The 24,688-nt window shown below is 43.8% G+C and overlaps 1 protein-coding gene across 2 annotated transcripts in view; it reads left to right on the top strand.

Annotated features, from left to right (window-relative positions):
* The window catches only part of RCOR1 (REST corepressor 1), a 137,913-nt gene that overhangs the window by 79,331 nt on the left and 33,894 nt on the right, over positions 1 to 24,688 (top strand). For both annotated transcript variants that reach the window (NM_015156.4, XM_047431148.1), the window contains exon 3: positions 9,916 to 9,999. In NM_015156.4, coding sequence (NP_055971.2) covers positions 9,916 to 9,999 — 84 coding nt within the window. The remainder of the gene's footprint in view (positions 1 to 9,915; positions 10,000 to 24,688) is intronic.

A 24,688-nucleotide genomic window follows, 5' to 3' on the forward strand; every position in this document is an offset into this window, starting at 1 on the left:
TCAAGTTTCATACTGAGCATGTGTTAGTGTTTTATTTTCATGGCAGTATAAAGTTCTGTCATATAGACATACTGCATTTTTTTATTCAATCGGTTGATGGGCATTTGGGTTGTTTCTACCTTTTAGCTGTTGAGTAATGCTGCTATGAAAATTTATATACAAATTATTATGTGGATATATGTTTTTATTTCTTTGGGCTGTATACCTAGGAGTGGATTTTCTGGGTTATATGATAATTTTTTTTCTTTTTTGAGATGGAGTCTCGCTCTGTTGCCCAGTCTGGAGTGCAGTGGTGCGATCTCGGCTCACTGCAAGCTCCACCTCCTGTTACGCCATTTTCCTGCCTTAGCCTCCCGAGTAGCTGGGACTACAGGCGCCCGCCACCACACCCAGCTAATTTTTTTTTGTATTTTTAGTAGAGACGGGGTTTCACCATGTTAGCCAGGATGGTCTCCATCTCCTGACCTCATGATCCGCCCGCCTCGGCTTCCCAAAGTGCTGGGATTACAGGTGTGAGCCACCACGCCCGGCCTCTGGGTTATATGATAATCTTTTGAGGAATGGCACCATTTTATATTCCCAACATTTTAGCCAAATAATCTGACTAAAAACAGGCAAAAGAGCTGAATAGACATTTCTCCAGGGAAGATACTCAGATGGCCAATAAACTTATCCAATATGCTCAACCTCTTTATTCAGGGAAATGCAAATCAAAACCACAGTGAGAGACTACTTCACACCTGCTGGCTAGAATCAAAAAGTCAGATAATAACAAGTGTTGGTGAGGATGTGTAGAAATTGGAACTCTCATACCCTGCTGGTGGGAATGTAAATGTAAATTGCTGTTCTGCTCCCAAACAGTTGACAAGTAAAATATAGCATTATAGAGTGAGAAATAACTCAGAGTTTCAGAGTAGAACTGAAAATATACTAGAAGAGTATTTTCCTTAGTGTTGGACTAGATGATTTTAAATTTGAACACAGACATTGTATCAGGTAACATCAAATCATACAGTGAAGGGTTTCTCACAATGTACACAAAATAGTATTTGTCTGCTTAACACTGGGATTTGCAAAGAACAGTGAAATATTACAGTGTTACAAAGCAAGATCTTCCTCTCTTTAAATGCCTGTTAACCTGATTTTAAGAATATCTTTATTGTATACATCTTATTCTTTAAATGTACCCCATAACTAATAGTACCAATTTTATGTTTTCAACATTTAAGTTATGATATTATACATTTCCTTTAACTTGCTTTTTCTATTCAAACTGGTTGATAGCTGTAGATCTGATTTTGTTTTCTATATTTAATTCCCTTGAAGTCACATACCACGGTTTATCCAATCCCTGATTTTTTTTTTTTTTTTTTTTAAGACAGAGTCTCCCTCTGTGGCCCAGGCTGGAGTGCACTGGCAGGATCTCGGCTCACTGCAAGCTCCGTCTCCTGGGTTCACGTCATTCTCCTGCCTCAGCCTCCTGAGTAGCTGGGACTACAGTCGCCCACTACCATGCCCGGCTAATTTTTGTATTTTTAGTAGAGACGGGGTTTCACTGTGTTAGCCAGGATGGTCTCGATCTCCTGACCTTGTGATCCGCCCGCCTTGGCCTCCCAAAGTGCTGGGATTACAGGCGTGAGCCATGGCTCACGTGAGACAGAGTTTCACTCTTTTTGCCCAGGCTAGAGTGCAATGGCACGATCTCGGCTCACCGCAACCTCCGCCTCCCGGGTTCAAGTGATTCTCCTGCCTCAGCCTCCCAAGTAGCTGGGATTACAGGCATGTGCCACCATGCCTGGCTAATGTTGTGTTTTTAGTAGAGACAGGGTTTCTCCATGTTGCTCAGGCTGGTCTCGAACTCCCGACTTCAGGTGATCCGCCCGCCGCCGCCTCGCCAAGTGCTGGGATTACAGGGGTGAGCCACCGCGCCCAGCCCCCGTTGATGTATTTTAAAGATTTTCCTCTATTTTTGTCCTATAGACGATTCTGTAGTAACTATCTATGTTATTATGTAGATAGGGTTCTTCAGATAAACAGAACTACTAGAATATGTATGGGTGTATCTATGTGTACATATATTCAGAGATTTATTTTAAGGAATTGGTTTATGTAGTTGTAGGGGCCTGACGAGTCTGAAATCTGTGCAGGCCTATAAGAAGGAGTTAGGGCCTTAGTCTCAACTTCTGGAAAAATCTCAATTTCTGCTCTTATGACCTTTAGGTGAACTGGATAAGGCCCACCCACATTATGGAGGGTAATCAAGAGATTATAGATGTTAACCATATCTACTAAATACTTTTCACAGTAACACCTAGATTAATGTTTGATTAAATAACTGGCTACTAGAGTCTAGCCAAGTTGACACAGAAAACTAAGCAACACACTGTCCTTCCATGTGCACCAGAGACTTTCAGACTTTAAAAAACCTCCACCAATAGTTTATACACATACTTAATGAAACCATATGCTGATGTTTTCTGTTCTTATTCTTTTTTTTAAAATGCTGATTAGGAACCCAAAATTCAATGTGAGTAGATCTGACCAGCAATTTGAAAAACATTGCATATATATGTAGTCTAGAAATGGAATTGCTGGCTTGCAAGGTATCCACACGTCCACTTTACTATACATTGCCAGTTTTTTTCTCTGAAGTAGTTGAACCACTGTACAGCCCTACTAGCCGTGTGAATAAACCTTCTTTCTTACCCCCTTGATGGCAACTGGTAATTGCAGTTTCCTTGTAGACCTAATTATTCCAGATAGGTCTGGGCTTATTTTTTAAGGTCTTTAAAACTTGATAAAAATCGACTTTAGGCCGGGCACGGTGGCTCATGCCTGTAATCCCAGCACTTTGGGAGGCCGAGGCGGGCGGATCATGAGACCATCCTGGCTAACACGGTGAAACCCTGTCTCTACTAAAAATACAAAAAATTAGCAGGGCGTGGTGGCAGGCGCCTGTAGTCCCAGCTACAGGCTGGGGCAGGAGAATGACATGAACCCGGGAGGCGGAGCTTGCAGTGAGCCAAGATCTGCACTCTAGCCTGGGCGACAGAGCAAGACTCCACCTCAAAAAAAAAAAAAAAAAAAAAAAAGTCAACTTTAAACAAAGAGACCTGCCTGTGTTGGCACCTTCAGCAAATATTAGTATCTACCCAGAAATTAATGACATTTCTTTATTTTCATTGTATTTATATTTTTTGATTTACATATAGCAAAACTGAATAATTTTTGGTGCACATTTTTGTGAGTGTTAAGACATGTATACAATACTCCTCCCTTATCCATGAAAGGTATGTTTCAAGACCTCTGGTGGATGCCTGAAACTGTGGGTAGTACTGAACCCTATATATATACTATGGTTCTTCCTATGCATACATACCTATGATAAAGATTAATTTATAAGTTAGACACACTGAGAGATCAACAACAAAAAATAATAAAATGAACAATTATAACAATATGCCAACATCGCCAATACTTTGGGGCTGTTAGTAAGTAAAATACAGGGGACTTGAACACAAATGCTGCGATGCTATGACAGTCCAGCTGATAACTAAGATGACCCAAGTGACTAATGGGCACATAGCACCTACAGAGGGGATGTGGTGCACAAATGGATGATTCAGGTACTATTCCTGGAATTTTCATTTGAATGTTTTCAGACCACAGTTGATCATGGGTAACTGAAATCACAGAAAGCAAATTCCAATGCGGGGCACCACTGGAGTTTCATATACCACCACCACAATTAGGATACCAAAGAGTTCCAGCTCCTCCAAAAGCTACCTCAGACTTTCTTAAGCTTCCTCACACTTCTAGACCCTGGAAACCTTGGATCTATTCATTATCCCTGTACTTTTGCCTTTTTCAGAGTGTCGTATGAATGAACTTGTACTGGCTTCTTTCACTCACTGTAATGCTTTGGAAGTAGGTCTAGGTTGTTGAATATATTAGTAGTTCACTATTTTTGTTGCTGTGTACTGTTCCAGTATATGGATGTACTACAGTTGGTTTATCCATTTACGCATTGAAAACATCTGAATATTTCACAGTTTTTTTTTTTTTTTTTCCCCAAGGCAGAAGAATTTTTCTTAGTACAGAACAAAATGAAAAGTCTCCCATGTCTACTTCTATCCACACAGACCCGGCAACCATCCGATTTCTCAATTTTTTCCCCACCCTTCCCGCCTTTCTATTCCACAAAACCGCCATTGTCATCATGGCCCATCCCCAATGAGCCGCTGGGCACACCTCCCAGACGGGGTCGTGGCCGGGCAGAGGGGCTCCTCGCTTCCCAGTAGGGGCGGCCGGGCAGAAGCGCCCCTCACCTCCCGGATGGGGCGGCTGGCCGGGCGGGGGGCTGACCCCCCCACCACCCTCCCGGACGGGGCGGCTGGCCGGGCAGAGGGGCTCCTCACTTCCCAGTAGGGGCGGCCAGGCAGAGGCGCCCCTCACCTCCCGGACGGGGCGGCCGGCCGGGCGGGGGGCTGACCCCCCCACCTCCCTCCCGGACAGGGCGGCTGGCCGACCCCCCCCCACCTCCCTCCCGGACGGGGCGGCTGGCCGGGCAGAGGGGCTCCTCACTTCCCAGTAGGGGCGGCCGGGCAGAGGCGCCCCTCACCTCCCGGACGGGGCGGCTGGCCAGGTGGGGGGCTGATCCCCCCACCTCCCTCCCGGACGGGGCGGCTGGCTGGGCGGGGGGCTGACCCCCCACCTCCCTCCCGGACTGGGCGGCTGGCCGGGCGGGGGGCTGACCCCCCCCACCTCCCTCCCGGACGGGGCGGCTGGCCGGGCAGAGGGGTCCTCACTTCCCAGTAGGGGCGGCCGGGCAGAGGCGCCCCTCACCTCCCGGACGGGGCGGCTGGCCGGGCGAGGGGCTGACCCCCCACCTCCCTCCTGGACGGGGCGGCTGGCCGGGCGGGGGGCTGACCCCCCCACCTCCCTCCCGGACGGGGCGGCTGGCCGGGCAGAGGGGCTCCTCACTTCCCAGTAGGGGCGGCCGGGCAGAGGCGCCCCTCACCTCCCGGACGGGGCGGCCGGCCGGGCGGGGGGCTGACCCCCCACCTCCCTCCCGGACGGGGCGGCTGGCCGGGCAGAGGGGCTCCTCACTTCCCAGTAGGGGCGGCCGGGCCGAGGAGCCCCTCACCTCCCGGACGGGGCGGCTGGCCGGGCGGGGGGCTGACCCCCCCCCACCTCCCTCCCGGACGGGGCGGCTGGCCGGGCAGGGGGCTGACCCCCCCTCCCCCCTCCCGGACGGGGTGGCTGGCCGGGCAGAGGGGCTCCTCACTTCCCAGTCGGGGCGGCCGGGCAAAGGAGCCCCTCACCTCCCGGACGGGGCGGCTGGCCGGGCAGGGGGCTGACCCCCCCCCCACCTCCCTCCCGGACGGGGTGGCTGCCGGGCGGAGACGCTCCTCACTTCCCAGACGGGGTGGCTGCCGGACGGAGGGGCTCCTCACTTCTCAGACGGGGCGGTTGCCAGGCAGAGGGTTTCCTCACTTCTCAGACGGGGCGGCCGGGCAGAGACGCTCCTCACCTCCCAGACAGGGTTGCGGCCCAGCAGAGGCGCTCCTCACATCCCAGACAGGGCGGCGGGGCAGAGGTGCTCCCCACATCTCAGACGATGGGCGGCCGGGCAGAGACGCTCCTCACTTCCTAGATGGGATGGCGGCGGGGAAGAGGCGCTCCTCGCTTCCTAGATGGGATGGCGGCCGGGCAGAGACGCTCCTCACTTTCCAGACTGGGCAGCCAGGCAGAGAGGCTCCTCATATCCCAGACGATGGGGGGCCAGGCAGAGACGCTCCTCACTTCCCAGACGGGGTGGCGGCTGGGCAGAGGCTGCAATCTCGGCACTTTGGGGGGCCAAGGCAGGCGGCTGGGAGGTGGAGGTTGTAGCGAGCTGAGATCACGCCACTGCACTCCAGCCTGGGCACCATTGAGCACTGAGTGAACGAGACTCCGTCTGCAATCCCGGCACCTCGGGAGGCCGAGGCTGGCGGATCACTCGCGGTTAGGAGCTGGAGACCAGCCCGGCCAACACAGCAAAACCCCGTCTCCACCAAAAAAAAAAACGAAAACCAGTCAGGCGTGGCGGCGCGCGCCTGCAATCGCAGGCACTCGGCAGGCTGAGGCAGGAGAATCAGGCAGGGAGGTTGCAGTGAGCCGAGATGGCAGCAGTACCGTCCAGCTTTGGCTCGGCATCAGAGGGAGACCGTGGAAGGAGACCGTGGAGAGAGAGGGAGACGAGAGGGAGAGGGAGAGGGAGAGCTGTTTCACAGTTTTTGATGATTGTGAATAACGCTGCCTATGTGTGCAGGTGCTTTTTTTTGTTTGTTTGTTTTGAGGTGGTGTCTCGCTCTGTCGCCCAGGCTGGAGTGCAGTGGCGCGATCTTGGCTCACTGCAAGCTCCGCCTCCTGGGTTCAAGCCATTCTCCTGCCTCAGCCTCCTGAGTAGCTGGGTCTGCAGGCACACACCACCACACCTGGCTAATTTTTGTATTTTTGTGGAGATGGGGTTTCACAGTATTGGTCAGGCTGGTCTCGAACCCCTGACCTCAGGTGATCCTGAGCCTCCCAAAGTGCTGGGATTACAGGCGTGAGTCACTGCTCCCAGCCTGTGTGCAGGTTTTATTGTGAACATATGCTAATTCTGTAGGGTATATGGCTGAACAGTGGGGTTGCTAGATCAGTCATTTGGTAAATATAATTATGTCTTTGTAAAAAACTGCAAAACTTTCCCAGAATGGCTTTATAATTTTGCATTTACACCAGCAGTGTATGAGAATTTCAGTTGTTCCCATTCTTGTCAGCACTTTGTAGTGTTGATGCCTTTTATTTTAGACAGCCTAACAGGTAAATAATGGTTTCTCATCATGGCTTTAATTTACATTTTCCTAATGGCTAATGATGTAGAGCATCTTTTCATCTAATATACCCCCTTTATATCTACTTTGGCGAAGTGACTGTTCAAATCTTTTGGCCATTTTAAAAAAATTGTGTTATTTTCCTTATTGTTGACTTTGAAAGTTCTTTATGTATTCTGGATAGAAGTCCTTTGTTGCATATGCGATATGCAAATATTTTCTTACAGTCCGTAGTGTATCTCAACAGTGCCTTTTGCAGAGCAAAAGTTTTTAAATTTTATTTTTAGTATACCATTAAAAAATGTTTGGTGGATTGTGATTTTGGTACTGTATCTAAGATCTCCTTTCCCAATCCAAGGTCAAAAAGATTTCCATGTGTTTTTCTTTAGAAATTCTATAATTTTTCAGTTTTACACTTAGTTCTGTCATCTGTTTTGAGATAATTTTGAGGTATGGATCCAAATTTTTTTAAAAAAATGTTTGTTTTGTTTTTGCATGTGAATATTCATTTGTTCCTGCATCATTTGTTGAAAAGATTATTATTTTTGGCTTGATTTTGCCTTCGTGCCTTTATGGAAAATCATTTGATCCTGTATGTGTGGTTCTGTTTTTGGACTCTATTCCATTTATTTCCCTTTTTTTTTCTTTTTTTTTTTTGAGACAGAATCTCGCTCTGTCACCCAGGCTGGAGTGCAGTGGTGCAATCTTGGCTCACTGCAAGCTCCGCCTCTCGCGTTCACGCCATTCTCCTGCCTCAGTCTCCCGAGTAGCTGGGACTACAGGCGCCCGCCACCACGCCCGGCTAATTTTTTGTATTTTTAGTATAGACGGGGTTTCATCATGTTAGCCAGGATGGTCTTGATCCCCTGACTTCATGATCCTCCTGCCTCGGCCTCCCAAAGTGCTGGGATTACAGGCGTGAGCCACTGCACCTGGCCTTTTCTCTGTCTTTATGCCAATACCATACATTCTTGATTACTGATTTTTTGTAATTAGTCTTGATTTAGATAGTGTAAGTCTTCCAACTTTGCTCTTTTTCAAAATTGCATTGGCTGTCTCATTTACTTTGCCTTTCTTTATGAATTGTAGAATATTTATCAATTACGGCAAAAGAAGGTGCTACAATTTTGATTGGAGTTGCATTGAATCTTTAGAGCAGTTTGGGAAGAATGCCTTCTTAATAATAAGTCTATATCTATGATCTATTTCTTCATCTTCTTAGATCATCTTTAGTTTCTCTCAGCAGTGTTTTGTAGTTTTCAGTGTACACATCTTACTTTATCCCTAAGTTATTTCATATTTGATGCTAATGATCTTTAATTTTGATTTTTGATTTTTTTTTTATTGCTGGTATATAGAAATAGAATTGACTATTTACTATTAATATTATTTCCTACAACCTTACTAAACTTGTTTATTCTGGTACCATTTTGTAGATTCTACAAAATGTAGATTTTCTACACAGATAATCGTGCAGTTTTGATTGTACCTTTCCACTGTGGATGCCTTTATTTTTGTTTTACTTTAGACTTTTATTGGAAATACAGCAGGACTTATTTGTCTTTGTATTCCCTTTGGGGTCCCTCCCCACACATACCTTTGATGACTTTTGTTTTAGATTCTTTGTAGCGTTAGCATTGTTCTGAAGTCAGAACTATGTATATATCTATAAAAAAGGTATACTTGGGCTGGGCGTGGTGGCTCACACCTGTAATCCCAGCACTTTGGGAGGCCAAGGCAGGCAGATCATGAGGTCAGGAGTTCGAGACCAGCCTGGCCAATATGATGAAACCCCGTCTCTACTAAAAATAAAAAATTAGCTGGGTGTGGTGGTGCACACCTGTAGTCCCAGCTACTCAAGAGGCTGAGGCAGGAGAATTGCTTGAGCCTGGGAGGCAGAGGTTGCAGGGAGCCAAGATCACACCACTGCACTCCAGCCTGCGTGACTGAGTGAGACTGTCTCAAAAAAGAAGGTAAACTCAAAGGCGGTCACTCCATCTTTTTTGTCATATTTCTTTCTCATCTACATCCTCTTCCCATCTGCAACAGAAATTCAACTTTTAATTTTACCTAATTCATACTTTTCACACTTTGGGTCCTTTTCACTATTCTGTTACGGTTCTTTAAAGTAACTGCCTCTCAGATTTTACTAAAAATGTAAAATTTCCTCTTTATGAAACCTAGAACACATTGGTAGACAAAATTAAAGATGGGAGATCTGGTGGTATCATAAAAGAAGAAATTCGTCAACCAGACTGTGGGTTTCCTAGATTTTTGTTTATAGTAGGTTGTATGTTATATTTAGTTGCATTTTTCCCCCTAGAGTTTAGGTTCCATAACTTTCATCATATTTTCAGAGTAATTTATTTAAAGGAAAAAAAGTGGCCAAAATTAACCTTTAGAATGAATAAGTCTGGGCCTAACCAGTGTGAAGGTATGGTCACTGAACCTCCTGTTTCTCGAGTCTTTGCCTTCTGAAGATATGTGTATTGTAATAGATGACAGCCGCTTGCGGTTAATTCAGTAATACATGTCAGCTCCACCCCTGGCACTTTTAAACCTTTTGGCCTACTATTTTGCAAAACAGATTTTTAAGAATTAGTATGCATTTTAGAAGTTTCCTTTCAGGTTAAACTTTTTAAATAGTTATTCTTTAATAATGCTGTTAAAAGAATTTTGGGATTTCTATTGCCAAGTCACTAAAAAGTAACTCAGGCAGAGAAGGGTAAGGGTGCTGCAAGCACACATGAAGAATTAACATTTTAAAAGAACCTTTGAGCACCTTGGCACCTGTGGATTTCTTCTTGGATGTCTCATGCCTAAAAGCAGAGCAGCATACTGTAAAATCAGTAAAAGTAGGAAAGGACTTGCAAGTAGAAATGTTTCAGCAGACTCTCGCCTCCCCCATCTCCATCCTCACTCTGATGTTAAGTGTGGGGCCCATTGGGCCAGATACAGGTAAAAAGGTGGGTGATGTCATTAAAAGGTATTGTTACTTATAGCTTATTATATGTGTTAAATTTTAATAAGAATTTTCTTTTTTCTTTCTCCCAAGCCAAACTGGCAAGACGCAGTCAAGAACGGGACAATCTTGGCATGTTGGTCTGGTCACCCAATCAAAATCTGTCAGAAGCAAAGTGTAAGTCTTGGAGCACTTTATTTTCCACCTTTCTTGTTTAATGTAAGGTTTTAAAGGTACCTTTGAAGGTAAAAGCTTCTATATGTATTAAATTTCTTTTCTATTTTAAGATAAATAATTTAAAGAGTTTTAAAGTGTATATTTCTTTTTTTAAAATTTTTTATTTTTTGAGATGGATTCTGGCTCTGTTGCCCAGGCTGGAGTGCAGCAGCACGATCTGGGCTCACTGCAATCTCTGCTTCCTGGGTTCATGTGATTCTCCAGCCCCAGCCTCCTGAATAGCTGGGATTACAGGCACCCATTACCACACCCAGCTAATTTTTGTATTTTTAGTAGAGATGGGGTTTTGCCATGTTGGCCAGGCTGGTCTCAAACTCCTGACTTCAGGTGATCCGCCTGCCATGGCCTCCCAAAATGTTGGGATTACAGGTGTGAGCCACTGCGCCCTGTGATCTGTTCCATTTTTGAACATGTTCTTTCTTACAGAGCACTAAAAATCTGCCTCCCTGTAATTTGTAAAAGCTTTGTTTTCCTGAACTTTGCTAAATAAGTTTGCTTCCATATGTGTCCTTTAAATGTTCAGTCATCGTATCTCCTTTACTGTCTGAGTCCAAGCTAGTTGCTTCAGGTGCCTTTTCAGATGGTTTTTTTGGGGATCTCTTTTCATCTCCTGTTGTCCTTCTAAGTGTGTTCCAGTTGGCCACAATGTCCATCTTAAATTGTACTCAGAACTGAATATGAAGAATACTGAGCATTTTTTGAACCTTTATGCCAGCACAGTACTAAAATGTTTTTCATACTCCTGTATCATTCAGTGTTCACAGTAACCCAGGAGGAAGATTTTTTCTCTGTTTTACAGATGGCATCCCATAGTTCAAAGAGTCAGAGGGTTGTAAAAGTAGCACAGATAGTGAGTGGCGGAACCCCAAGTAGTTCACTCCTGGGTCATAATCTCACTTATTTCTCAGGCTGTGTTCATTTAGCCTGTTAGCCACTATCTTTCTGTTATTACAGTTTAAAGTTGTATTAGTCACTTTTCCTATTGTATTGCTTATTGGAGTCTTTGGAGTCAGAATTTAATTTTAATGTTATCTTATTTTTCATAGACCTAGAAGAAAAGGGCAGAATATGTAAAGTTAATTGATTTTTAAACAGTGGTGTTGCCTATAAAATAAATTTACAGTTTTATTGTAAGCCCTGATTACAATCGTTTTAAGTTTAAAGTTGGTTAAAACTTTAAACTTTAAAAAAACTAACCTGTCCACTGAGGCTCCCAGTGGACAGCGAGCTCGGCTTGTGGCTGAGACACACTTGAGCCAGGCCAGAGGCATAGGAGGACCAAATTTGACAGATATCAATACACGATTCTTACTGAGGCCTTTGAAACGGACCCTTGTCCTGGAATTACTGTCAGAAAAGAACCGGCCAGAAAAACAGACTCCCGAGCCACGAGTCCAGGTTTGGTTTCAGAATTGGAGAGGTGGAGCACGGAAAAGAAGCCAGAGCAGCGCCAGCGTGGAGGCCACCTGGGCGCAGGTCCCCCCGATCCCAGACCCTGGTCAGCCTGGGGTGCTGACCCCTACTGTTCCACCAGCGGGGCTTCCCCGGGGGTCCCAAGCAATGTGGGCAACTTCTCTTGGGAATCGGAGGATGCTTTGGGCCAAGCTCTCCTCTGGGGGCGCGCTGATGTTCCGTGCGCGAATGTGGCCCCCGCTGACCTGGAGATGGCAGCCAGTGCGCTCGGCCACGCTTAGGGAGATGTCCCTTGATCTCCGCCCTCGGGCCCAGTGCTGCTTCCGGGTCCCTCTTGCCACCAGCCCTTCCCACAGCTGGAAGCTGGCAGTGCTGGGCCTCAAGTTCATCCCGGGGCACCCGGCCTGCTCCCCATACACCAGTCCCTAGCTCTGCGGGGGCTGGGGCTGCACCCTCCTGCTGTGGAGCAGCAGCCGAGGTGGGGCTGGCAGCTGGGGGAGGCGCCTGGGTGCGCCGTGACCTGGGAGCAGCCCTCTCCGCCCCAGCCCCCGCAGCTCTGACCGTATCCCGCCTCTCTGCCTCTTTCCTGGCCATAGTCACAGCCACAGCCATCGCAGGACCCGGCTGAGCGCTAGGAACAGGTTCCTTGTCTTCCTCCAGAATCCAACTCGCACGGGAGGCCCCAGCACCCCTGCCCCCAACCCGCTGCGGAGTCTGAACCTCAAGCGGCTGCATAGCAAACCCGTGGAAATGACCTGTCAGTGTCAGGCAGTGGAAGACAGATGAACTAAGCAAGGGCTCATCGGTAGTGTTCACGTTATGAAAATTGAAGAGAAATATCAAGATTTATTTACTTTGTCACGGAAGGGCTTCCAGACATACCTTTCAGGGAAATCGAGTTGTTAGGGTGGAAGGGCCTTGGGGTGCATGAGACCTAGGGGTTTTCCTTAGATGGCATAAAAAAGGATTGACTTTATAGAATACATCTGTCTTTCCATTTATTAACCGAGTAAACACGGAGCACTGAGAGTGAACAAAGTCCACTAGCGAGAAGGCAGGATGAGGACGGCTTTGTAGAAATGCATTATTTTCTATCAGGAAAGAGCAATGATTTCTACTCTGGGAAAAAAACAAAACAAACACTTACCTAAAAGTAATATTTACATATTGTTGAAAGTTCATAGATAAAAGTATAAAGAATAAAAAAAATTCACCTATTATTCCATCACCCAGAGGTGATAATCGTTAAACATTTTGGGGTATTTCTTCCAATTTTTTTTGTATGTATTTATATAAGTGAGATGATAGATTATCTGTGTGTGTGTATGTGTGTATTGTCTTCCTGAGCATCGGACCTAAGCAGTTTCCACGTTGTTAAAACTGCTTATAAAGGTTTTAAATAACTAGGTGTAATACTTTATTACATGGATATGTCAGTATGTTTAACAATTACTCTATTGAAAATTTAGGTGTCTCAGTTTTGGAAGAATATGGAAGTCTTGGTTGTCCAGCATTTATTCTGACATTAAGTAGAAATAAGTGATTTAGGACATATTTCTAGCAGATACTAAAAAACTGTGTATAGGATGTCTGGAGATCCCTGGCTTTTCTTGTGTGTGTGTGTGTGTTTTTTTTTTCCTCTTCTTTTCAAAGTGGCTGTTCAGAGTTCTGCCTCTTAGGGTTACTGAAAGCTTATAAAGTTATGTTGTAATTATAAAAATAAATGCTATTTTAGAAAATTCAAATAGTACATAATGCATAATATATAATTGTTTTCCACAAAATGTGAACTGTTATCAGTCTGCTCATAAGTACATCTGGGACTTTGTTTCATCTCAGTATATCTACAGTTATCTAATTTTTTTTTACTGTAACTAGTATGGATGTATCATAATTTAGCCTTTTTTTAAACAAAATTACCTGTATTACCTATTGATGAATATTTATAATCTTAGTTCTTTTTTTAAACTCTGTTTTTTAAAAAACCTGATCCGTAGAATGACTCTAGTTTAACATTAATGAATTGTACATTTCTTTTTTTTTTTTTTGAGACAGAGGTTTATTCTTATTGCCCAGGCTGGAGTGCAGTTGTGCGATCTTGGCTCACTGCAACCTCCACCTCCTGGGCTCAAGAGAGTCTCCTGCCTCAGCTTCCCAAGTAGCTGGGACTACACACGCAGGCCCCTGCACCTGGCCTTGAATTGTACATTTCAGAATAGCTAGAAGAGGGCTGAGTGCGGTGTCTCACCCCTGTAATCCCAACAGTTTGAGAGGCTGAGGCGAGCTGATCACTTGAGCTCAAGAGTTTGAGACCAGTCTGGGCAACATGGTGAAACCCCATGTCTCTCAAAAAGTCCAAAAGTTAGCTGGGTGCGTGGCATGTGCCTGTAGTCCCAGCACTTGGAGGCAGAGATGAGGATGCTTGAGCTCAGGAGTTCAAGACCAGCCTGGGCAACATAGATCTCCCCTCTATTAAAAAAAAACGGGGAGGCGGGGGCTAGAAGAGAATAATTTTGAATGTTCCTAATATAGAGAAAATGTAAATATTTAGGATTATGGATATCCCAGTTACCCTGATTTGATTATATGAATGTATCAAATTATCACATGTACCCTGGAAATATGTACATCTGATATGTATCAGTAAAATAAAATACATACATTTTAAGAGAGGATCTTGGCTCTGTTGTCCATGCTGGAGCTCAGTGGCACAGTCATAGCTCACTGCAGCCTTGAACTCCTGGGCTCAAGCTGTCATTTTAAAAAAAGCAATAGTGAAGATTTTTGCCCCTTAATACATTTCTTATTTTCTTGTTTAAAATAGATTTTATATTTTAGAGACATTTTAGCTTCACAGCTAAATTGAGCAGAAGGTACAGAGTGCCCATTTATCTTCTGCCCCCACACACCCACACCCTCCCCCAGTGTGAACATCCTGCGCTGGAGTCCACCAAAGGGATACGTTTGTTACAATCAAGCAGCCTACAGTGACACATTCTTATCACCCGAAATTCATAGTTTACATTAAGCTTCACTCTTGTGTTGTATGTTCTGTGGATTCCGACAAATGTATAATGACCTGTCCACCAATGTAGTTATCATCGTTTCACTGGTTTAAGAAACCTCTGTGCTCCACCTGTTCATCTCCCTCTCTGCCTCCTAAACCCTGGCAACTGTTGATCGTTTTACTGTTTCTGTAGAATGCCTTCCAGCTGGAATCATATAGTATGTAGCCTTTTCAAATTGGCTTCTTTCACTTAGCAATATGCATTTAAGGTTCCACTGTCTCTTTTCATGGCTGGATAGTTCATTTCTTTTTAGTGCTGAATAATATACCGTTGTCTAGCTATGCCACAGTTTATCTGGTGTATTGTCATGCTAGGAACCCCTCTCCCACCCCCACATTACAAACAGACTGATGTCTTCTGTCGTCTTCTCCTTTTTTACATCGTTGTTTCAACTGAAATTATTGGATTATATTTTTTCCTTCACTTACATTAAACTCATACATACTTTGTGCCTGGACTTCATTCTTTTCAGTGTACCTGGCTCTATATTTATTCTTTTAGGTGAATCTTAGATTTGTGGTAACAAGTTCTGTCCAAAAGTATCTCAATTCAGATTATACGGAATTCGTGTTTATCTACTGAGTTTTCATTTACGTTTTATATTGAACAGCTTTTTGTCTGGGAATGTACCAGGAGTGAAAGGTTCAGGAATCTCATACTGTAATGGAGAGACAGAAAAAATGAACATGTGAGCAAATAATTTATGTGTAGTTTTCCTAGGCAACTCTTCCTTTTTAGAGGTAGAAACACTGGGGTCTACAGAAGTAAAGTCAAGTGTTTAAGGTCCCATAGCCAGTTATTACAGTAGCCAAGTTTTAGCTAGATCTCTTGTCTCCAGACAATATTTACCACACCTGTCTGCCTTTGTAGGCTGCTTCATTTAATAAACTGTAATTCAACGCTTAAAACATTAATACTATACTAGTTTTTTTGGGCTGTGTCTAAGTAAAACCCATTTAATGAGAGATATAACTTATGGGATATGCCTAGAAAATGTGGCCTGTAGAGAGACATTTCATGTTGAGGAAGCGTAAATAATTCCCAATAACATAGATTAGAACAATGAGTTTAAATATTAAGTGATCATGGAAAATTACTTGATGAAACCATGGCTTGAGATTTCAGCAACAAAGGAGTGAATGAAGTACAATCTGCCATCATGTGTAATCTGGAGGGTGGCAGACTGAGAAACTGAAAAATGTTCACTTATTGGAGAAGAGTACAGTTGACTCATATGATTTTTACATCAAGCATCTCCCATGTACCACTGAGTCAGTATTCTGATGTTCCCGTTGGGACTCAGCAGAAGGTGCTAGCTTTCCTAGGTAGAAACAAAGAGTTGAAGATGGTTGACATTTGATTGAAATGTGGAAGAATGAGTAGGAGTTTGCTGGCTGGACCAGGGGCATAAGTGCACACTAGACAGAAGAAATGATAGCATTTCCTTTTTTTTTTTTTTTTTTTGAGATAGAGGTCTCGCTCTGTTGCCCATGCTGGAGTACAGTGGCGTGATCTTGGCTCACTGCAACCTCTGCCTCCTGGGTTCAAGCAGTTCTCCTGCTTCAGCCCTGCGAGTAGCTGGGATTACATGCGTGTGCCACCACACCCGGCTAATTGTGTGTTTTTAGTAGAGACAGGGTTTTACCATGTTGGCCAGGCTGGTCTTGAACTCCTGACCTCAGGTGATCCTCCTGCCTTGGTCTCCCAAAGTGTTGGAATTATAGGCGTGAGCCACTGCGCCCGGCCAGCATTTTCATTTTTAAAGGTGTGAAGATGTGGAGAGGAAATCCAGCACTTAATTTTGGAGATTTGCCTGACTGTGACAAGTGTTGTCCTGGGGCAGAGAGAAATGAAACTAGAAAGGCAGGCCAGCTTCTTAAAGGTTTGGAGGATCTCTTGACGGAGTTTTAGCTAGAACTGATATGATTTACACTGAAAAGCTCTTGACAGTCCTGTGGTTTAGAGAAGAGTAGAGAAGAGGTTTATTGGTGGTAGTAAGGTGTTGATGCAATTCCAAGTCAGAGAAGTTGATTGCCTAACCGGGTCAGTGCTGTTAAAAGGCGGCATGATGGAAATTCAGGAAGTCAAGTCAGGAGTATCTTAACTTGCCCCAAAGAGATGGAGACCATAGAATTGTGGGCTTAGTGACTGGTTCAGGCAGCCTTTAACATGCCTGTAAAGACTATTAAATGCCGTTAAGTATAGGTGCACTGTTCCATCATTTACTCCACACGTTTCTGTTGAACCCCTATGAGGCACTCCGTTGCTGTGATACGGTATCATCTCTCCTCAGTCCCCACTGTGATATTGTGCAGCCACCCTTTGCATGGATTCCACACCCTACCTCTGCACATCCTGTTTATACCATTCCAGGCTGCCCGCCTTTGGGGACTCCATCCTCATTCCAGTTGATCTGCACCCTAAATGCCCACCTTGCTCAGCCCTACCCACCAGCTTTAGGATACCACCTCTTGCCTTCATGCAGACACCACTGCACTGCGCAGTGTACTTTTGACAGTCCCCTCTTGTCACTGTGCTTACGTGTAGACCTACCTCAAGTTTGGACTTCGTTTGTTTAGAGAAGCAGCTGAACGTTAACAAAGTGGGCGTATTAGAGTTTAAAATATATGTAGAGTTTAGGCCAGATTGTAGGCCCAGTCTGGTTCCTTTTACTGACTTAGGAAAAACAAAGTTTACCCAGGCACGTGTGGTTAAATATAATGCAAAACTGTGGTCCAAGGGTCTTAATGAAATGGATAGATTAATCTGAGGATTTTTTTTTTGTTGCTTGATTATTATTATTTTTTTTAAGGTAGGGCTTGAAAAGAAGGGGAGTGGAACTAGAGGGGAAGCTCGGGTATAGCCTTGTCTGTTGTTTATAGTCTGCTTTTTAAAAATATATAATCAACTAAATTGCTCATGCTGAATGATGTTGATAGTTCCCAGAAGGAGCAAATTTCTCAGATGGGCTGCTGTTGCCTTGGGTGTAGAATTTAGCAAGGTGACTTTTGGCTATTGGATATCCATAGAAACAGATGGTCTTGCTCATTTATGCATTATGCATTTTATAAGTTATATATAGTAAGTGTTTGTGCAGTTATTTAAGTGTTTGCATTTTGGGTTTTTTATTTTATAAAAATGAGGAAAAACTGGTCCAGTGGTAAGAATCATGGATCTCTGTGTTAAAATAGACAAAAATGGAAATCGTTAGCTGTGCCAAAAACAAGCTGGCTGATTTTTTTGAGACAGAGTCTCGCACTGATGCCTGGGCTAGAGTGCAGTGGCGCAATCTCAGCTCACTGCAACCTCTGCCTCCCAGGTTCAAGCTATTCTCCTGCCTCAGCCTCCCTAGTAGCTGGAATTACAGGCACCCGCCACCATGCCCAGCTAATTTTTTGTATTTTTAGTAGACACGGGGTTTCACCATGTTGGCCAGGCTGGTCTCAAACTCCTGACCTTGGGATTTGCCTGCCTCAGCCTCCCAAAGTGCTGGGATTACAGGCGTGAGTCACCGCGCCCGGCCTGATTTTTTTTTTAAGCTAGCTATTAACTATATAAGGAAAAAAATTGCATGTAACATGGTGGAGGTAGATAATTTAAAGTTGTGTCAAAAGACAAGTTTAAGTTAGGGATTTAAAAGTAAGTTTTAGCTTTCTTGGAATAAGAGCCGTACCTATGACATACGCACAATTCATTTCTACTTTAGGATGTTTGACTTACTATATTGTACATGAAAGTTTAGAGTAATATGAATAATGTGTAATATATCATATATAATTCTAAACTTTCATGTAGATACATAGTAAATGTCAGGTGTCTCTATTCAGAGCATCCCAGTAGCTTTTCAATTCATTGTAAGTTAAAGTCAAAAGAACCTGACACACCCTGGGCAGCATGGCAAAACTCCATCTCTACAAAAAAATTAACCAGTCATGATGGTGCACACCTGTAGTCCCAGACTGTTGGGAGGCTGAGATGGGAGGATCACTTGAGCCCAGGAGGTCCAGGCTGCAGTGAGCTGTGATTGCGCCACTGCACTCCAGCCTGGGCAACAGCAGGACCCTGTCTTAAAAAAAGGAAAAAAGAAAATAATAATAACACAAAAAAAGAACTTGATGTCCACATGGCTCACCCCCCAGTTCATTCTGGTTATTGCTTAAGTGTCACTATATCAGAGAAGCCTTCTTTGACCACACAAACCACTCACTGTCTTAACTCACTTTCTTTCATTCTGCTTATCATCACCGGACATCGTATTATCTACTTTATGTCTCTCGTCTCTCTCCACTGTAGTGTAAAACTGAGTGGAGGAACTTGGTATGTGTGTTCAGTTCTCTGTCAGTCCCCTCTTGGCATGTGGTGGGTGTATAATAAATAAGTTATTGAATGAATGAGAAGGTGGTGGGAGTGCAGGATTCCCCTGGATAGAGATTTGCAAATACAGGCTTTTCTGCCATTTGCTCTGTAACTTGGGTTGTCTGGAATCTTATAACATTTCCTTCTTTGTCCCTTACCTTGTGGCTATCATTTGTTTACTCAGTAACTTGCACAACTGCTTGTGTACCAAGCGCTAGCAGGCACTGGCGAAATACACGAACAGTCCGACAAGTCCCTGCCCAAGTGTAGCTTACAGTCTACGGGAAGCTGCACTGGTAAATAAGTTCATTGAGCGCCGTGAAGGAGAAGTGTGCTTAAACAAATACCACATATTCTCACTTACAAGTGGGAGCTAAACATTGGGTGCACATGGCCATAAAGATGGGACCAATAAATAAGACACTGGGGACTACCTAGGATGGGGAGAGGTGGGGACAAGGGCTTAAAAAGAACCTGTGCTGAGTGAGTCATGGGTTCATTTGTACCCCAGACCTCAGCATCACGCAGTGTGTCTTTGTAACAAACCTGCACACGTGCCCCCGATTCTAAAATAAAAAGTTGAGGGAAAAAAACAAAACAAAACAACTTATTCTTTGACTTGGGTGTGAGCAGCAGTAGCGATAGGGTAAGCCTATATTGGCCTAGTTTTCAGCTTTTTAAAAATATATGGCTAGAAGAGGTTGAAACTTGTGATTAAAATGAGTCTTTTGAGTGTGTGAAAAGTATTTTCATCACTTTAATTTTTTTAAGTGCTCTAGAACTAGCTAAAATGGGCAAAACGTACTAGAATAAACATAGCTGAATGAGTTGAATTTACAAACTAGTGGAAGCCTTCTATTAAACAGTAATTTACCTTGTAATCATATTAATGTCTAATCTGTATCTTTATACAGAAAAACGTTTCATTGTGTTCAGTTTTAGTTTATCCTTTCTGTTGACAGTGGACATCCATTATCAGTTCTTGACTATTACAAATATTACTGCTGGGGAAGCATTCTTGGACCTATTTCTTGATGCCCATCTAGAATATATATGCTAAGTTCTGAGAGATCAGTGCCAAATTATTTTCAAAGTGGTCAAACTGGTTTACACTGCTACCAGCAAAATGCAGAATTTATTTGCTCCACATCCTCTCCAATAATTGCTGTTGTTGGACTTATACGTGTTAGACCAGTCTAGTGTGAGTATAACACTGTTTCATATACCAAGGAATTTTGCTGTTTTAGTTAGGTCTGTTAATGGCATTGGTGTTATGAAACAAATATTCCCACATTTTAAAAAGAGGTGTATATTGATATATGTAGGGATGAAATGAAATAATTGGGATTTACTTTAAAATTCTTCAGCACATGTAAAGCACATTTTGGGATCAGTTCACCAAATTGTTCTGTGGATGCAGATTAAAGTATTGTTTCCGTGTTTAATTTACTGTCCTGTGGTTATGTAGGACAGTATACCTACCCTTAGAAAACACTTGCTGAATGTTTAAGAGTACTGGGTCATAATATATGAAAGCTGCTCTCAAGTAGTTCAGGAAAAAGTTAACACACACACACACACACACACACACACACACGCTTATTTTTATTATTAAAAATAGCCTCTAACTTACCCCACCATGTGGACATAACCACTATTAAAGTTTGCTTCCGGATCTTTTCGGTATGCTTATATGCACTCTGATTTTAAGCACAAATGGTTACATCTTCTATGTAGTGGTTTTCAACTTTAATTTTCCTGCAATTAAAAATTAAACCGAGTTTTGATCCTGAATAATATCACATCTTGTAGCATACTTTATTCAACTACATCTCTCCTTCCTTCCTTCCTTCCTTCCTTCCTTCCTTCCTTCCTTCCTTCTTTTTCTTTTTCTTTTTTTTTTTTTTTTTGAGACAGTCTTGCTCTGTCGCACAGGCTGGAGTGCATTGGCACAGTCTCAGCCCATTGCAACCTCCGCCTCCCAGGTTCAAGCAATTCTCGTGCCTCAGCCTCCCGAGTAGCTGGAATTACAGGCATGTACCACCACACCTGGCTAATTTTCATATTTTTAGTAGAGTTGGGGTTTCACCATGTTGGCCAGGCTGGTCTTGAATTCCTGACCTCAAGTGATTGACCTGCCTCAGCCTCTCAAAGTGTTGAGATTACAGGCCTGAGCTTCTGCTCCCAGCCCACATCCCATTCTTGAACATTTAGATGTTCTTCTTTTTTCCTCCTATAAATAACACAAGTACACAGGAATTTATAATGTCCTCTCCCCAGTTGAAAAGAAAGCCCTCCTTAATTCTGCAGATCAGGTTTCTCAATTATGTGCATTCATAGTTCTTTTTCTCGGTCACTTACGACAATTGGAATTCATTTGTATGACTATTTCTCTCTCTCCAGTCAGACATGCGGGTTCCATAAGGGCAGAGATTGTCTATTTTAATCACAGCTATCAAAGCAGCACCAGGCACACAGTAGGCCTGAAAGATTTGTTAAATCAGTGGAGAATAATTTCAACATAAACAATATATTTTATAAAAGATCACTGTGTTGCAACTTACTTTGAAAGCTCTTAAATAACTTGTTTGTATAGCAGTGCTTATGGAAGGCTACTCTATTGGATGAAGAATAGAAAACCCTCCACATTGCAAACAGTGGGACTTAACAGTGGGAGGGCCTGCCCCTCCCAACTCCCTCTCACAGGCAGGAGAGCCTGCCCTCTCATACTCAGTCTCACAATGGGGTTTAGCTTCCTTTTCAGAGCTAAAGAACCCACCCAGCCTTCCTATAACACAGACTCTCTTTCATCTTTAATGGACAGAATCAAGATTATTGCTGCCAGAGATAGAAAGTTGGGGAAAAGTCCTCGAGGGTCCCCTTCTTTGTTTGGAGCAATTTGATGCAGGTAGCTTGTATTTCTGTTTATCTGCTTCCTGTTTCGTCTTTTATCTTTTATCCATCACCTTAAGCATTTATGCTTTTTTTTTTAATCTTAAGAAATGGGGGTTCACTGTGTTGCCCAAGCTGGTCTCAAACTCCTGGGCTCAAGTAATCCTCCCGTCTTGGCTTATCAAAGTGCTGGGATTACAGGCTATAAGTGTGAGCCACTGCATCTGGCCAATCTTTTGTTTTTTGTATGAGGGTAGCTGGAGCACTTTTAATTTTCTAAGGTTAAAAACTTACCTTTGCTTCACTTAAGGAAACCATGTGAGAGATCTTGAAAAATGCACTTTTCATTTTCATCACTGCCCTACCAGCAACTACTGGTGTACTCTGCCAAGATAAGCTTCAGACAAGTCACTTCTCTGGGGATTGGGGTTGGAGACTGACTTATTCTGTAAAGTGGGATTTTAACAAACTCCCACTAAGAAATAGCTTTAAAAAATTTATTTTTTTGAGATGGAGTCTTGCTCTGTTGCCCAGGCTGGAGTGCAGTGGCACAATCTCAGCTCACTGCAACCTCCGCCTCCTGGGTTCACGCCATTCTCCTGCCTCAGCCTCCCCAGTAGCTGGGACTATAGGCACCCGCCACCATGCCCGGCTAATTTTTTTGTTTTTGTTTTTGTTTTTGTATTTTTAGTAGAGATGGGGTTTCACCGTGTTAGCCAGGATGGTCTCAATCTCCTGACCTGGTGATCCACCCGCCTCGTCCTCCCAAAGTGCTAGGATTACAGGCGTGAGCCATTGCGCCCGGCCAAGAAATAGCATTTTTATAAAGAACGTACATTTTGTTACCTACTTGGAAGGACGGATTGATGAAATCCTCAGGCAGAGTCTCTGGCTTGGCTTCCTGTGCTGTTTTCCACCCCAGAGAGGGAGCGTTCAGATGTTTACTGTAGTAATGTCTGTACCCACCAGGTGGCACAATTGCTTTACTTAAATGATTTAAGCTCATTTTGATTCTCAGCGAGGTGTGATAACTCATTTCTTATTTTAATAATAAAAGATGCCACAATATTTGTTACTGTATTTTTAAAGAGAATTTTTGCATGTTCAGTTGAGTGATGAGAGAGAAATTGGTGTCATGTTTCCTCTGTGGTACCTAATCCTACAGCAAGAGTTTCAAAAATATTTTTTTAAAAAAGCTCTAAGAAGGCTATAAGCCTTGTCATCAGCCCACCATATGGTGCCAGCCTATTGCTTTGCATAGAATATCCAAGATCACACAGTGTTCTGAATATCTGCAGTATCTAGGGGGAGGGAAGGGTGAGTTAAGGTTACTGTGGCAATTTTCATCTGCATTTCTCCCTTCTTTTGCACTTGAGACTTACTGAGGGTACTAGGGCATTTCGTTCATTGAATTAAAATGAATATAGAAACAATTGAAGTTTAGCGTCCATCTGTTTCTTACCCCTGCTTTCTGTCACTTCATCAACCACAGTTCTATTAACTTCATTCAAGCTAGATACAGTATGTTGATTAGCCTTGGTTCCCTGTACCAAGGAGGCTGTTCTAATCTGAAGAGCCCTTCTGCCTCTATCTTCTCTCCTCAAGAGATAGAACTGTGTTGGCTGGTCCGAAGTAGTGAGTTATCTCAACTGATTCTTCACAATTGCAGATGGAACTCCTTGTTCTTCTCTCTTCCTGCTTCTCACTACTGGACCCAGCTGGTCTTTTTTAAAAGAAGGAAAGGAGGGAAGGAGGGAGGAATTGTGCATAGAGGTTGTTTGTTTTTGTTTTTGTTTTAGATGGAGTCTTGCTCTGTTGCCCAGGCTAGAGTGCAGTGGTGCGATCTCGGCTCACTGCAACCTCTGCCTCCCTGGTTCAAGCAATTCTCCTGCTTCAGCCTCCTGAGCAGCTGAGATTACAGGCATGAGCCACCATGCCCTGCTATTTTTTTTTTTTTTTTTTTAGTAGAGACGGGGTTTCACCATGTTGGCCAGGCTGGTTTCGAACTCCTGACCTTGTGATCCACCCACCTCAGCCTCCCAGAGTGCTGGGATTATAGGTGTGAGCCACTGCGCCCAGTGCATAGAGGTCTTAAACCTTATACCTTATCTGATATTTACCAGCTGTGTGACCCTAGCCAGACTACTTCTGTGAGCCTCAGTTTCTTTGTGAATGAGAGTGATAATGGAACTATCAGAGAAGATTAAAAAAAAGATTGTAAAGAGCTTAAAACAATGGCTCATAAATAATAAATTCTCAGACGTTAGCTGTTGTTTCTGCTTGTCAGTATAGATGCCGAACCTTTAGGAAGCATTCCTTCATTGATCATTATTATCATCTGATGACTTGGCATTCCCATACTGTCCTACATCTGTGTTGTTATTTCGTGTGTTTGTTCTCTTCTGTTGCCTGTGTGTTGTCTCAAGCTACTGTGGGAAATCGGTTCATTTTTGCTTATTTCGGCTTGCTATTTAATACAGTGCTTTGTTCATGGTAAGTTTAATTCAGTACATGCTTGATTAGGCTTTTGGAATTTTATAAATTTTCTTGAAGAATGAGGATTTCACATTCTGTCTTTAAGTGATATTATGAGGAAGCCCATAACTCATTCACCTATGCTCTCCATAATGGTAAAACGCAGTGGATGGATTCTTGTGCTTCTGACTGACAGATTGGAATGTCGGCCAGGTTGCACAGGCAGGCCTGCTTTGCGCACCCTGTACACTGGGGAAGGGTGATGGGTGCAAATGCCTGGGCCCATAGAAACGTGCTGGCATTTTCTTGAGCAGCGTGGACTTTGCTCATTGTCCTGATTAGCGTTTACTTCATGAGTCCCTGCCCTCAGTGGCTCCTCACTTCCAGATTGGTGAATTTTTAATCGATAAGGGACAGAATTAAGA

This window comes from Homo sapiens, chromosome 14 (assembly GCF_000001405.40).
Source record: "Homo sapiens chromosome 14, GRCh38.p14 Primary Assembly".
Classification (NCBI taxonomy): Eukaryota; Metazoa; Chordata; class Mammalia; order Primates; family Hominidae; genus Homo; species Homo sapiens.